General features: G+C 51.2%; 1 protein-coding gene across 6 annotated transcripts in view, besides 2 other annotated features; it reads right to left on the bottom strand.

Annotated features, from left to right (window-relative positions):
* Positions 1-16,328, bottom strand: part of INPP5A (inositol polyphosphate-5-phosphatase A) — a 245,694-nt gene that overhangs the window by 140,644 nt on the left and 88,722 nt on the right. The window lies entirely within an intron of this gene.
* Positions 8,015-8,524: an enhancer, noted in NCBI's record as "H3K4me1 hESC enhancer chr10:134447817-134448326 (GRCh37/hg19 assembly coordinates)". NCBI's record gives its function as "activates a minimal SCP1, AML or CMV promoter by ChIP-STARR-seq in primed H9 embryonic stem cells {active_cell/tissue: H9 hESC(primed)}" and the evidence as "EXISTENCE:reporter gene assay evidence [ECO:0000049][PMID:30033119]".
* Positions 9,529-14,312: an enhancer, noted in NCBI's record as "VISTA enhancer hs1763". NCBI's record gives its function as "enhancer in: heart[4/5]" and the evidence as "EXISTENCE:transgenic organism evidence [ECO:0001131][PMID:17130149]".

Genomic DNA, 16,328 nt, shown 5'->3' with positions numbered 1-16,328 from the left:
CTGCGCTTCATCGGCAGGTCTTTATCCCCACGTGCGGCCGCCCCTCCACATGGACAGTTGGGTCAGAAGTCTTACGTATATATTTTCATGCAGTTATTGACAAACGGTCCCACTAATTTAAAGCGGGACAGCTTGGTTTCTCTCAACAGCAAGTGTACGTGACATGGATGAGCTCCTCAGCAAAGCCCAACAAAGGCCAGGCCTGCTCAAACAGAGGGGACCCCTGCTCCCGGAGTGACAGGGGAGGAGAGGGGGCTGCGACGCACACAGCTCTGTAGGCAAACGCCATCACAAGAAAAGATGTGTCCTCAGATTCCAACGACCCCACGGATAACTAGATTTTACAGCATTTCCTGGGCTGTCACGGCAGGAGTAAGGCGGTGGAGAAACTGCAGCTATGCTGGCATAGCCACCACATCAGGGGCCCCGGAACGCCAGACGCACAGTGAGACACAGCCCTGATGCGAGAGGATGGCCGGCGAACCGCGTGGAGAAGAACCGAGGACACCAGGGCTTCTCAGATGTCGTCCCCAGCCCGCCGGACACTGCACAGAGCAAGTGCTGCACGCTGGGGCTCTGCTGCTGCCCCTCTGCTGGAAACGCCTCCACCCACTCCCACGCCCCAGGCCTCCTCTGCAGATGGGCTCCAGGCTGTCCCCAGACCGCAGACGGGCTCCAGGCTGTCCCCAGACCGCAGACGAGCTCCAGGCTGTTCCCAGAAGGCCGCCCCTTCCCGCTGGACTCCCAGATGGCTTTGTGAACCTCCTTTTCTTCTGTGGTCACAGGCTGCTCTCCACATCCCCTCCCACTGGACCATGAGCCCTGAACCGTGATGCGCCAGCACTGGTCCACACTGGGGAGCCCTGCTGGTGTGCTCCACACCCTGACCATGCACAGGGGTGATGACGCCCTCAAAGCTGAAGTGAGAGGACGCTTCAGAAACACAGAATGTTGCATCAGGAGAAGCCCGGGGTTCCCACACATCTGCAACAGGTTATGGAGATGGGTACCCCAAACAGACGAAAGGCCACACTTCCTTTGAAAACCAAGTTATCAAAATGATAAGATCTTTACCATGAGAAGTTTCAGAAGAAAAGCAATGAACGACTATAGAAAAGAGCAGGGCACTGAATGGCAGCAGATGATGCTATTGTTCCTCCACACCCACAAATCAAACTACCTCCACGCACAGTTTACAACACGGGGCCCTTGCGAAGCTGTGCTGGAACAGACTGCAGGTGAGTTAACACCCAGTCCCTGGAGCTTCTGCTGAAAGACTGGGCTCAGAAAATCGCCCTCTGGCACGGGGTCGTCTCACTCCACAAAGGCACAGGCAAACTGTCTGAGGAATTCATGAAGGAGAAGGAAGACATCCTGGTTAGATCTATCCGGATAGCTGGACTAGTTAGCTGTATGGAGAAATATAACTTCACATATTATAAACTCCATCTAGGAGACAGAATTATGGTCTAGAATGGATCGGCACAACAAGAAAGTTTATATCCATGAGTACATAATGAGCCTGAGAGTCTCCAGGCATTGGTCATCTTGAAATCAGGGTGTTATTTTAAATCCCGACATTGTTTGGAAAACTGGCAAATAAGGGGAATGGAGCAACGTGTTATCCTGCCTTTCTTGGACAAACAGTGTCTCTGGAAAAGCACAGGGGACACAGTCCCTCTTTACAGAAACACTCCTACCAAAAAGTGAAAAAGAAATGGTAGAATTAGAATACAGCCATTTTACAATTCTTAATGACGCAGTGAATCGAGGCAGTGAACACCAGCAGCTGCTAATACCACAAAGAGACACAGACAGAGGGGTGAACAGAGTACATGCCTCCCGATGAAAGCTGTAACGCCATGGCAGAGCATCCCGGCGGAAAAACTGAACCCACGTCGGATCTCGACGGAGGCCGATTCCAGGAAATGGGAGACAGCACGCTGAGCACAGCCACAGGACACCTCCAGCCACAGGACCACGGACACTGTGTGGGGGACACTGGATGCCTTCCACAGATAAGTGCTGGCAAAGAGGGGCAAAGAAGAACAGGAAACGGCCGAGAGAAAAGAAGGTATACAGAGACACGCATCAACTAAAAGGCACTACAAGGGCATATCAGCAGGGGCTCCGGTTTTGCCATGGGAGCATGTGGCCCTCGGAGGCCACTGTTCCCGCCGAGGACAACCACACACTACAAACAAAACATGTGCCCGAGGAGGCTGAGAGGTAAAGAGAGGCAGACAGGCAGCGCCGGGAGTCAGAGCCTGGAGAAGTGATACACAGGGCGAGCCTCTTATTCTTTCCCTCTTCGGGCTTTGCCCAAGCCTGGGCCACACTTACGGGAGCAGCAGAATGTGGACCCTACAAATCCAGAGGAAACCCCACCCTCTCTCTGGCCAGAAGAGCAACAGAAAGAAACCCAGGCTAGCCGGACGGTGTGGGGCAACCCTGGAGGGAAGAGCTAGGAAGAGGGAACCCTAAGTCTGTGTATGAAGCCGCTTGAGTCTCCAATAACCCCAAACACACACATGTGTGACAACCCACGTGAGCGAGCAGAGGCTCTGAGCAGTGAGGTGGGCTCTGACCAGCACCCAGCATGAGACTGAGCTTATGGTCTGTACCTCATCAGGGTGAATGCGTGCATGCTGAGAACCGTAAGAAAAGCCAGTGTCTATACAACGCAGCATCCACAATGACCAGGACACAACCCTGAGTTATCGGAATCTGAAAACATGGCCCACATTTAATAGAAAGAATGACAGACAGATGCCACCACTAAGACAACACCAATGCCGGACACAGCAGAGGAAGGTTTTCAAGCAACAACTACAACATGCTCCATGAGGTCAAAGTAAATACTCTTGAAATAAATGAAAAGACAGAAAATTTCAACAGAAACTATAAAGGAGAAACAAATGGAAATTTCAAAAACTAAAAACATTTATACAACATCTAAAATAAATGACCAGAAGAACTCAATGGTAAAATGAAGATGACAGAGAACAGCTGGCAAATCTGAAAATAAGTCAGTAGAAATTACTGAAATCAAAGAACAGAAAGCACAAAGGTTCAGCAAAAGCCAGCAGAGCCTCCAGAAAATGGCATCACATCTACTCTACGCGTAGTCGGAGCAACAGAAGGAGAGGAGAAACAGATGGTGCATGAGAAAAACACTTGGAAAAAACAACGGCCAAAATGTCCCCAAATTTAGTGAAAGACATACATTTACAGATTCTAGAACCTCAGTGAGTGCATAACAAGATAAATTCAAACAAATAACAAGATAAATTCAAAGAAATTCCTATCTAGGCATATCTGTGCCACATTTTATCATAATCAAATTGAGGAAAAACAAAGATGTATTAATAGAAAAAACTTCTGAAACCAACTGGACAGAAGTAACAGAACACACATACAGGAAGGAGTCAACAATTCAAATTACCACGGATTTCTTATCAGGAAACCTGGAGGCCAAAAGACAGTGGAACAAGGCCTTTAAAGTGCTTAAGGAAAAAAAAAAAAAAAGTCAACCCAGAAGTCAGTATCTATTGAAAATATCCCTCAGGAATGAAGGCAAAGGGAAACATTTTCACACAAAAGAAAACTAAGCAAATGTTCCACCAGCAGGTCTGCTGGAAACTGATGGCTGGGCAGGGCTGGAGGGGAATGATCTGGGGGCAGCTTGGATCTCCAAGAATAAGGAAAGGCAGGAAAAATGGGAAGCATCTGGGTAAATATAAAAGATTATATTTTTTCTTCTTGGGTTCTTTAAAATACATAGAATGAGCCTCCAGGGTAGCTGAAGACAGCCTAGTCCCAAAAATTTGCTCCCCAATTTTCTATGTAGGCAGGGGATGTGATATATAATGAATGTAACATATAAACTATGTCATATATATATGTAACTTATATAGAGAGAAAAACCCAAATTGCAGCCTCAGCGTGGCTTGAAGAAAAAGTGGAAGCTGCCAGGCTCAATGGCTCACACCTCTAATCCCAGCAATTTGGGAGGCCGAGGCGGGTGGATCACCTGAGGTCAGAAGTTCGAGACCAGCCTGGCCAACATGGTGAAACCCCGTCTCTACTAAAAATACAAAAATTAGCCAGGCATGGTTGCATACACCTGTGATCCCAGCTACTTGGGAGGCTAAGGCAGGAGAATCACATAAGCCCAAGAGGCAGAGGCTGCAGTGCTCCGAGATTGTGCCACTGCACTCCAGCCTGGGTGACAGAGCGACATTCTGTCTCAAAAAATAAACAAATAAATAAATAAAATAAAATTGGGAGCTACAAATAGCAGTGAATAAAATGAGGAAAAATCCAGACTCCAGAAGGTGATCTCTCGGGCTCCGGGACTGCCCCCGCTGGGGTGTGAGGCTTTGTGAAGCACAAAGGCACAGCAAGAAACACCACAAGAGAGGGAAGGGAGACACCAGGGAAGAGACACACAGAGAGTCAAACACACAGCCAGCAAGTCCGGAGGCTGAAGATTCTGGAAGAGCATCCCAGCACATCCGAGCGTGGGTTGGAACACAAGGCGAGACTTGGAGGCTGCTGTGATGGAAAGTGGGAGGCCCAGCCTAGCAGGACAGCCATGCTTCAAGGGCACTACTGAGACACTACCAACGAAGAAGAGAAAAATATTTCTAAAAAGAGAGAGAAGTAGCAGCCCTGAGTCACCAGGTGGCAAAGGAGAAAGGAAGAAAAGGCAGGAAAAGAGGGACTTGAAAGAGAAAGAGCGCCAGCAAATCAGAGAACGAACAACTCCCAGACCCCAATCACTGCCCAACTTCCAAAGCCAGCGAATGCACTTGGACTTTGCAATACCAACACAAGAGGGTGCTATTAAATTAGGAATCTTGCAAACCCCATACTCCCACTAAAGATGAGCAAAAGGAAGTCCCTACAAAACGGCTGTAAAAAAAAGACAAAAAATTGTACACACACAAACTGAGGAAAACGTGCCCGACCTGAGGAAAACGACCGTGAGGCAGAACAGGACGGGAGCCCACATTGCAGATAAAATCAAATCTACTCAAGCAGTCGAGAATATGAAAAACCACCTCACATCAGAGATGCGAAACTAAAACACAGAATGGACCACTGGGAGAAAGAGACGGAGAGCGCCCATCAACCTCGGGGGCGGCAAAGGCAAAGCACAGAACAGTCATGACAGAGGAGGACAGCCACAGCAGGCGCCAGGAGAGTCACTGGAAGGAAACCCCAACATGGGCATCAAAACCAGAAAAATCCACTGAGAAAGCAAAATCGCACAGAGAAAACAGCGTGAGAGAAAGAAGTGACCGTGGGAGACAGGCAGAGAAGGAGGAACATTTGGAGGATCAGGGACCCAAAGGACACCCGAAACACCTAACATTTAAAACTATAACCCAGGAAAACTTCAAAACAGAAAAAGACCCGCACTTACACACTCACCTGAAACACCTAACATTTAAAACTATAACCCAGGAAAACTTCAAAACAGAAAAAGACCCGCACTTATACACTGAAAGGCTCACTGAATACTTCAGAAAATTAACCCAAAGTAATCAACTCCAAGATTTCAAAGATAAAGATAAGATCCTCATGGCCTCCAGGTAAAAAAGATCAATTAAACAACAGGTGGCTCACGCCTGTAATCCCACCACTTTGGGAGGCCGAGGCAGCGGGCGGATCAACCACAAGGTCAGGAGATCAAGACCATCCTGGCCAACATGGTCAAACCCCGTCTCTACTAAAAATGCAAAAATTAGCTGGGCCTGGTGGCGCACGCTTGTAGTCCTACCTACTTGGGAGGCTGAGGCAGGAGAATCGCTTGAACCCGGGAGGCGGAAGTTTCAGTGAGCTGAGATTGTGCCACTGCACTCCAGCCTGGCGACAGAGCGAGGCTCCATCTCAAAGAGAAAAAAATAAAAATAAAAATAAAATGTAAAGAATCGGACCAGCACCAGTCTCTTCAAACCCAACATACGCACTAAGACGACAACAGAATGACCTTTCCTAAACATCTCAGTGAAATGAGGCCTGAACCAAGGGCGATTTATCCAGCAAAGCATCCTTCAAATTCCAAAACTATACAAAACAGTTTTCAACGTACAAAAATTTGGGAAATTTTGCCCCCATCAGCCCTTTCTGAGGAATCCAGGAAGGCAGGGCTGGTTCTCTTCCATAAATAACCAAATGGACATGGGAGCTCTGTGGTCCCTGCTCAGCAGCGCAAGGGCAGCCCCAAGGGACAGGAGCGACTGGGGGTGGCTGTGCGTCCACAACCTCGATTTCCAAAGGCGTGCAGCAGGCTGGCTTGGGCTGCAAACCAGGGTGGAGGGAGTGCAGTTTGCTGATGCTGAGTTCATTTTTTAAATTTGTATACATGTAAGGGGTACAGTGCAGTTTTGTGACGTGGCTGTTTTGCACAGGGCTAAAGCCAGGGCTTTCAGTGTAACCACCACTCGAATCGTGTGCACACTGTACCCTTAGGTGACTCTCATCCCTCACTCCCATTTAGAAGGGAGAACATGTGGACTGACTTTCTGAGCTGTTTCACGGAAGAAGTAAAGCAAGTTCTATCCACGTTGCTGCAAAAGACGATTTCATTCTTTTTATGGCCGAATATTACATTGCATATATGTGTGTGGTATAGAAAATACACACACACACACACACACACACATTTTGTTTATCCAATAAAGCATTTTTTTGAAATAATATTTCCAACTGGGATTTTCAACGTACACAGATGGAATACATGCCATATAGAAACCTATGTGATTTCAAGATTTCAACATTGCACATGAAGTAGTACAATATTAACTAGCAACCACTTGAATATGCCTTTTTTTTTTTTTTTTTTGTCTTTGAGATAGGATTTCGCTCTGTCACCCAGGCTGAAGTGCTGTGGTGTGATCACAGCTCACTGCAGTCTCCACCTCCCAGGCTTCAGTTATCCTTCTGGCTTAGCCTCCAGCCTCCTGATGCTGGGACAACAGGTGTGCACCACCAAACCCAGCTAATTTTTTTTTTTTTTAAATCTTCGAGAGACAGGGATCTTGCTATGTTGCTCAGGCTGGTCTCAAACTCCTGGCCTCAAGCAACCCTCCCACCTCACCCTCCCAAGTAGCTTTAAAAATATCTTTAAAAAGGGCCGGGCGCAATGGCTCATGCGTGTAATCCCAGCACTTTGGGAGGCTGAGGAGGGCGGGTCACGAGGTCAGGAGATCGAGACCATCCTGGCTAACACAGTGAAACCCCATCTCTACTAAAAATACAAAAAATTAGCCGGGCATGGTGGCGGGCACCTGTAGTCCCAGCTACTCAGGAGGCTGAGGCAGGAGAATGGCATGAACCCGGGAGGCGGAGTTTGCAGTGAGCCAAGATCGCGCCACTGCACTCCAGCCTGGGCAACAGAGCGAGACTCCGTCTCAAAAAAAAAAAAAAAAAAAAAAAAAAATCTTTAAAAAGGCAAACAGCCAATAAAGAAATAAAAATGGAATGCCAAAAAAAATTAAATAATTCAAAAGACAGCAGGAATGAGGGGAAAAGGGTACAAAAACCAGTGTACAAACAGAAAAATAAAAAATGGCAGACCCCAATTCAACCACATCAACAGTTATAACAGGGTTAGTGGTCTAGACTGGCACTGTGTTATCTAGCTGTCACAAGTCAAATGTGGCTATTTAAAAGAAAACGAAATAAATGTTTAAAAACTGAGTTCTTTGACAGCACGAATCACATTTCAAATATGCGCCATCAAAAGCCACAGGTGGCCAGTGGCTGCCATTGTGAATGCCACAGACTGGAACTCTCATCAGGAAGTTCCGTCAGCTGAGGCTGTTCTGGACTTTCCAATTGCAAGGCTGGGAGCTACAGGGTGGATAAAAAACAAGACTGAAGGACACACTGCCTGTAAGAGACACACTTTCAGGATAAAGACACAAACAGACAGAGAGCAAACAGGAAAGCACACACCACACCAGCCATGAGCCTGGGAGGGCTGCGGTGAGCCAGGCAGGGCTGCCGGCCGAGAGCCTGGGAGGGCCACCGTGAGCCGCAGTGGCGGCAACATTCATTGGACCAAGGCTCCAGGAGACGAAGAAGAACATTCGTGATGACCGAGACAACTCTCAGGAAGACAGCACAACCACAAATGTGTATATGGCTAATAACAAAAAACACACTGGGCAGAGGTTGACAGAACAAAGGAGAAACAGACAATCCCACAACCACTGTAGGAGACTTTAGCGCCCTCCCTTGGCACTCAATGGATCTAGACCAACACACACAAGCAGTCAAGATGCAGGACACAGTCAAGCTCCGTGGTCCACTTGGCACGACAGAAAACCACATCTGACACCTGCAGAACACAGAATGCATACTCCTCTCCGTGGCACACTCACCAAGGGAGATGACACGCCTCTCCGGGGCACACCCAAGGGAGATGACATGCCTCTCTGGGGCACACCCACCAAGGGAGATGATACGCCTCTCCGGGGCACACCCACCAAGGGAGATGATACGCCTCTCCGGGGCACACCCACCAAGGGAGATGATACGCCTCTCCGGGGCACACCTGCCAAGGGAGATGACACGCCTCTCCGGGGCACACCCGCCAAGGGAGATGGCACTCCTAACTTCACGAAAGCTACAAAACAATTTCCATCAAAACATCAATTAATTGTAACACATGAACTGTAAAAAACAATTATGAGACAACTGAGAACATCTAAATCCTAACTGGATATTGAATAGGTTGGAATTACTGATCATCTTTTTAGATATAAAGCTACTGTGTAGGGTCTGTATTCTTTGAAATACCTACTGAAATAGTCACGAATGAAGTGATGCACTGTCTGGTTTTTGCTTCAAATGCTCAGGGGTGGGAAGAGCAGGTGGAGGGGTCTGAAGCAGAACTGGCCACGAGCTTCACAGCTGAGCGTGGGTGCTGGGCACGGAAAGGATTCTCTCCATGTTTATATGGGCTTGAAATCGTCACAATAAGTTTGCTGAACGTGCTCACTGTTTAACTAACTCTGTAGGAACAAAACCAGAAACCCAAAAAACACATTCCCTCCAGCCAGCAACACCCAAGGCAGGAGCCCTGGAGCTGCGCAAAGCCACCCCCAGGGCCTTCGAGTGAGTGCCTCTGAACAATGGAAAAATCATGACCTTCTCTGAGGTCTGTGATCTTTCCTGGTCTCATAATGGCAAGGCCAGGGAGAAAAGAGGGAATCTCTGTTTCTTACCAACGTCCTGCTTGGGGATTCAGCTTGAAAACACTTCTGTTTGCCAGCTCTGGAGGAGGTGCGGTGCCCAGGCTCAGACAGTACGAACCCACTCCACGCTTGGGCACCTGCAGTGGCCTCACCAGAGCCGACAGACACGCACATCAGAGACTTCGTTTTAAAACAGATTTAGTCACTGCACAAGGCGAGAAACTCAAAATAGCTCATTTGAAGAGGATGGGTTTTCGTGACCTACTATTGGACATTTTTGGCTAACAGAAAAAAAAATATTTCCTCTGCAAGTGAGTGAAGCTGCAGAATGTACCGGGTAAATGTAAATGCTTCACTGATGAGCAATGACTCCCAACAGCCAGGATTCAAGCACCTCGCCCACTAAAGGGAGCCAGGCAGGGGCTGAGGTCCGGGAGCTCACTACTGAAGCTGATGGGTGGCTAGCACCACCACAAAAGGCAGCCAGGGACAGGGCACCTTTGTTGCAATGTCTTTACCTGACCAAGTAAGCCAGCACCCAGGAGCCCCTGCCCTGGGGACAGAGGCCTCCTCCATGGGGAAGGGAGACAGAACCAGCCCCCCAACTCCCCAGGCAGTGGTGTGCTCGAAAGCTCTCAATACTAGCTCTCCAGGCGAGGCCCTGGGACTGCCCTTCCGAGGTGTGAATGCCCCGCCATGGCCAACGCTAAGCCACCGATGTGGCATCACTGAACCTGGGGTAGGAGAGGTGCTCGGCAAGGCACCATCATTCACACATCAAATACTGTGTGAGTATTTCCCTCACCCAGACACAGAGCTAAATAGTCAAGATCATACGTAACAGTACAATAATTAGGAAGGGATGAGTGTGGGGCATTTATTGCCTTTGGTTTTAATATATTTACTTTATTACAGGTTTATATAATTTGATTTTTAATAATGGCTGCATTTCACACCTGGCTCCCAAGTTCCTGATCAATTCAGTCAGTGCCCATGACAATCTGGGCGGGGTGCAGTGGTGGTGGGTGGAAGTGTGGGCTTTCCAGGAAGCACACCGGGCACGGGCTCCTGCTGGACCCCTTCCTGGCGGGAATTCTGGGGCCTGGTTCCTGCCTCTCAGAGGATCCACTTCGGCACATGCCTTCCTGAGACGGTCGCTGTGAGGTGTCAACAATGCTGGCATCCAGGCTCAGCACAGGCTGGACAGAGTGAGGTGACACCAGCCAGACACAGCTACTCACACCACAGGCGTTGGCCCGTGCCAGAGAGATACAGCCACAGGGGACACAGGCGCCCTGGCATCCGGGAGGACAGGGACACACACAGAGCTCTAGGCAGCTGCAGAAAGCCAAGCAGCTCCCCAGGGCTGGCCTGGGAGCCTCTGCAGCCTGCACGATCCTGGACAAAGATCCCTTCAACAAAACATATTGCTGGACCGCAGAGGATGGACAGGAAAGGCCACGCCACAGTGTCGGACAGCACGCTTGGGTCAGGCCTGGCTGGAAACACACTGCTGCAAAGCACAGATGTGACCGAGTGTCCCCAGGTTACCAGGCAGGGCTGTGAAGAGACACAACCCCCATGGGGGTGCACATCTCCACCCACGAGTCTGAGCTTCTGCTCAGCACTTCACGCCCTGAGTGACAATGACACTGGCATGCGTGACCTTGGAACTATCGGGGAAGTCACGGCCCAAAGCTGTGCATTTTCTTCACCAAAATTCTACAGTGAAAAAGCAGGTGCTCCTACCTTAAAGGAAAAAAGGGCAGTCAATAAAACCACATGGGTTGTTTTATTATAGTGTCCTTGAACTGGATGCTTCATAGGAAGGCCCAGGAAAAATATCTTGGAAAGGCATGGCAAGAAAAAGCACGTTCACCAGCCAAACAAGCAGCACCCTGCTTCTGCCGCGGAGCGGGGCCCAGCACGAAGGGCCCCTGGTTCCCAGGAAACAGGCAGCACAGGCCTGCCCAGGCCACGTCCATCGGCACGGCCAAGACTCGGTGTTAAAAATAGCAACAGCCAGGCCCTGTCAGGCGTTCTCCAAAGAGGAGTATCGGAGTGACCTAAAAAGGAATTACATCCTGCACAGCACCCCAGTGGAAGCCCCATGCCAAGATAAGGCGCGCAGAGGGACACGGGAATTTCTTGATAGAAAAAGGCCACAGTTACTTGCCAACGACGCCTGGAAAACACCCTGTTTAAAATCCCCGCTGCCCACCCTTGCCCTGGGTGGGGGCTCTCCTCTCCAGGTCCCTTCGGGGCTGGGCTGGGCTGCAACGGGTGCTGGGACCCCAGAAAGAGGCCTGTTTGTGACCAACCAGACCCAGGTTCCCACAGGCCCCTGGTCAGACAGCCTCCTCAAGGCGCAGCCGATGGGACCGGCCAGGGCACACGGAGCAGCTGTGTGGGCAGGGGCCTGTTCTTCTCTCCGCCCTGCACACAGGACACCATGAGTTTCCATGACCTCACCGCAGGCAGCCTGGCCAGCCTGTGTGATCTGGAGCTGCCTTTCCTTGGCCCTGCGTGGGGCTGGGCCACCATGGGGAGGGGTGTGGGACCCAGCAGGCCCCACCCAAGCACAGCCTAGAGGTTTTTTGGGGAGACTGTGGGTTCTACCACACTGACCACATGCAGCAGCCTTCCCCCCAGAGATAGGGCAAGTGACTTAAGCAAATCTGCAGATGGAGCCAGAAGCTGCTGCCGGAGACGCCACGGGCAGAGGTGGAAACGCAGGGCTCTAACCCGAACAAAGTCCGGGCTTGGGCCATCGAAGCTCCCACAAATCAGCTCTAGTTTAAGAAGCACGTCCCCCGCCGCCCCCGCCGCCTCCCGGCCCCCACCACCGCACAGGGCAGGGCAAGGTTAAGTCCAGGGTCATGGCAGGTGCGACCGAGGCCCCACCCGCCCCCCACCCTCATGGACACTTTCACTTCACTGATGCCTTCCCCTCATGGATGTCTTCCCCTCATGGATGTCTTCCCCTCATGGATGTCTTCCCCTCATGGATGTCTTCCCCTCATGGACGTCTTCCCCTCATGGACGTCTTCCTCTCATGGATGTCTTCCCCTCATGGACATCTTTCCCTCATGAAAGCCTTTCCCTCATGGATGCCTTTTCCTCAAGGATGGCCTCTCTTCATGTATGCCTTTCCCTAGAGCTTGCCTTCCCCTCAAGGACACCCTCCCCTCATGGGCACCTTTCCCTTATGGACACCATCTCCTCATAGACATCTTTTCCTCAAGGACACCTCCCCTCAAGGACGTCTTTCCCTCATGGAGGCCTTTCCCTAGAGGACACCCTCCCCTCACAGACACATATCCCTGGAGGATGCCTTCCCCTCAAGGATGCCTTCCCCTCATGGACGCCTTCCCCTCATGGACGTCTTCCCCTCATGGACAGCTTTCCCTCATGGACGCCTTCCCCTCATGGACACCTTACCCTCATGGACGCCTTTTCTTCATGGATGGCTTTCCCTCATAGACGCCTTTTCCTGGAGGACATCATCCCCTCATAGATGCCTTTCTGAAGGATGTCTTTCCCTAGAGGGTACCCTATCCTCGAGGACGCCCTCCTCCATGAACACCTTTCCCTCATGGATGCCACCTTCCCCTGGAGGATGCTTTTCCCTCGAGGATGACGTTCCCTCAAGAACGCTTTGCCCTCAAGAACACTCTCCCCTCAAGGACGCCCACCCTTCTTGGATGCCTTCCCCTTATGGACACTTTCCCCTTATGATTGTCTTTCCCTGGAGGGCAGCTTCCCCTGGAGGACACCCTGCCCTTGTGGACACCCCTCCCTCATGGATACCCTCCACTCATGGACCCTCCCTCATGGATGCCTTCCCTGGAGGACAGCTTCCCCGGAGGCCACCTGGCCATCGTGGATGCCATTCCCTTGTGGATACCCACCCCTCATGGATGCTCACGTGTGGAATGCATGTGGAGAACTGCCGCAGCACAGGGCTGTCCGCACAATGCAGAGGGAAGGGCCAAACCACGCAGCAGCAAGTGAACACTCATTCCACAGCCACTAGCACCAACCCTGGAGCCACACTGGAGACTTCCAGAAAAAGAGGGGACACAGAAGAACCTTCTGTTCAGGTCTCCCGTCGCCCCACAGCCAATCTTCCGCTATGCATGCAAATGTAACACAACTCCCTTCAAAGATGTACGATGAGATTTTTATCTTCAGCCACTTTCCTGAGTCACTGAAAGTTCATGAAGACACTGAACAGCTGCAGGGCCCTGGCTCGAGAGGATGGGGCCATTCGTCACCTGAAGTTGAGCAGGCGGGCAGCGCACTGCCCTACAACAGAGCTGGGGTTCCCTCACGTGGAGTCTGTGTTTCTGGAGCTCTTAGGAGGGGAGGGCTGGGGTCAGAGGGCAAGAGCAAGTTTGAGGCCACTGCTGTATAACACCAGGTAGCTTAAAGAGGAACCACCCATCTGCAGTGCTGGGGACACACGTCAGGCAGCCAAATGGACCCACCCTCGGCACCCAGAGGCCAAGAATGGGAATGCCAGGTGCTGCTTCAGCTGTAAGCAAGGAAGGGGCACTACCTGGCAGCCACCTCCCCTCGCTCCTGCCATCTGTGCGGCCACGGCTCAGGGTCAAACACACCCGGTTCTGAAGGCCACACAAAAACAGATAACATGTCTCATTAATAACTGTATACTGATTATATGTTGAAATGATAACATTCTAGATACACTGGGTGAAATAAAATATATTATTAAAATAATTTCACCTATTTCTTTTTGCTTTTTAAAATGTGACTCTTCAAACTTTGAAATGACATATGCACTTTACACACCATTTCTATTGGATGGGGCTGGGCTAGATTCTAAGAGAAGCTTTTGACCATCTTTCTATTGGAATTTTACATGTTCTCTTTCATTTATAAGAGTTCTTTATAAAAATTGTTAAACCAGCCTATTGTTGTTTTTAAAAATATATTCCCAGTCTGCCTTTTAATCACATTTAAACTCTAAGAGCCTAAGAAAAGTCCTGCCAGTTTTATTTACTCGAATCCATCAGTCTTTGCCTCTACAAATTCCTTCAACTATGTGGAGTTTAGAAAAGCCTTCCCCATCCGGAAAGGAAATAAACAGCCATGTTTCCTTCTACGTGTCCCCCACGCCACGCCCCCCCCCCCCCCCGCCACCAGAGCACATCTGGAGGGAGAGGGGGCGGCCACCATAGGGCACAGGGCTCCAGGCCCTCACAGCAGTTAGTGCTTCCTGAATGGTGCTGCCGGCCCGGTGGAATTCACTCTGTCACTCCTCACAGTCATTGCCAGCCATGGGTGCATGCTCACGAGGAAGCGGGGCACGGTGAGGTTACACAGCCCAGAAAGGGGAGCCTCCCATCAGTCTCCTCCCAGGGTCCACGATGGGCTCTCAGCCATGCCGGCCCTTACTGAGCTGGTAGGAATGGGCCTGAGCTGCGTCAGGCAGACAAGGATCACACTGTCTTCCAAAGGAGACCAGACCACTGGCAGGAGGTCTGCTTTTAGAATCTGGTTTGCGGTTAATTTCCACACTTGAGCCTAATCTAATGGTTGCTCTTCACCAAGAGTAGATCCGCAGCTGCTGATCAGAGCGCTGTGCTGTAAACACCCTCCTGGGCAATGGCAACCAGTGAAGACATCAACATCAACAACAAAGTCACCGAGTCAGATTCGCGTCCCTTATCTCCAGTTTCTCTCCACACCCGACGCCGCCACTCCAGCCTGGGCACCTCCCCCACACGGCTCTCTCCACGGCCTCACCCCTCCCGGTTTCCAATACTCCAACCAAAGGTCCTCACAAATCTGTCCGTGGCTGCCGTTACCCTGAGGATGAAGAAAGTCTGAAGCTTTTCACGGGGAAGAGGAGGCCCTGTGGCATCTACCCGTCTGCATCCCCTGTCTCGCCTCTCACTATAATCCCAGCCATCTCACACCCCCAGCCCCGGACCACACTGTGCTCGCTGCTTTCACCACGATTCCTGGAAGGTGTCTTTTTCGGCTCTCACTCCCTCGTTCATTTCACTTGTCATCCGCTGCACGTTGCTGGCAGCTGGGGACACAGAGGGAGTCGGGACAGACCAGGCACTGGCCCTCAAAGCACCCACTTCTGGCAGGGACGCTGCTGGACGAGGCAGCCACCGCGGACAGCTGCACGCATCTTGGGAGCCGCGCCCAGCACCGCCAGCCCCACCGCCCTCCAGACCCACCTGCTCAGCGGCCAGGACAGACCCTCTCAGGACAGGTGTGGAGCCAGCAGCAGCTCCCGGCCCCGGTCTCCCCGTGAAGCCTCCTGGGAGCACCCAAGGTGAGGTATTCCCAGCCTGTCCACCCTCAGCCCCTCCCTCGGTCGGCAGAGGCTCCATCACAAAATGCCACAGACCAGAGAGCCTAAACGAGACACGTATTTCTCCCAGTTCTGGAGCTGTCAGTCTGAGGCCAAGAAGCCGGCCGGTTTGGTTCCTGGTGAGGGTCCTTCCTGGCTCACAGAGCTGCCTCTGCGCCCTGTGGAGAGAGCCTGATCCCGTGTCCCTTCTTGTAAGGGCACCCATCCCATCCGGGGGGCCCACCGCATAACCTCATCTCACCCCATCACCTCCCAAAGGGCCCACCCCCCTCAATACCATTACACTGGGGTCAGAGCACAACCTATGAACTTGGGGGGACACAATTTGGTCTATGACACCCACCCCGCCCCAGTGCCAAGCACAGGACCAAACTACAGCCAAACAGACTCTAGCAGAACACACGACCCTTCGAGGGCAGTGGGGCATGAGCTGGGAGGGCCTCACACGGAGCCAACAAGGGGCCTCCCACAGTCGCCACAGGAACCCCTGCACTGCTGTGAGCTCGGGCTGTCCACAGGGCACAGCAGACTGCTAACGTGTGCATTCCACAGCAAGCCTTGACAATCTGTCTGTAAAGAATCTAAGTGCTGGCTAAAACGAACACCAGAATCCACCTTGTGGATACTGACAGAGGGCTCTTGTGCACACCCACAAAATCTCACTTCAGAACAGAGAGAAAGAATTGCACAGTCTGCGATCTTGAACACGCCAGCTCCCACAACTGTATATTGCTACGAGGCACTTAGCGGTGTCAGGGAGC

This window comes from Homo sapiens, chromosome 10 (genome assembly GCF_000001405.40).
Source record: "Homo sapiens chromosome 10, GRCh38.p14 Primary Assembly".
NCBI classification, from domain to species: Eukaryota; Metazoa; Chordata; class Mammalia; order Primates; family Hominidae; genus Homo; species Homo sapiens.
This window is presented reverse-complemented; position numbering and strand designations above follow the sequence as displayed.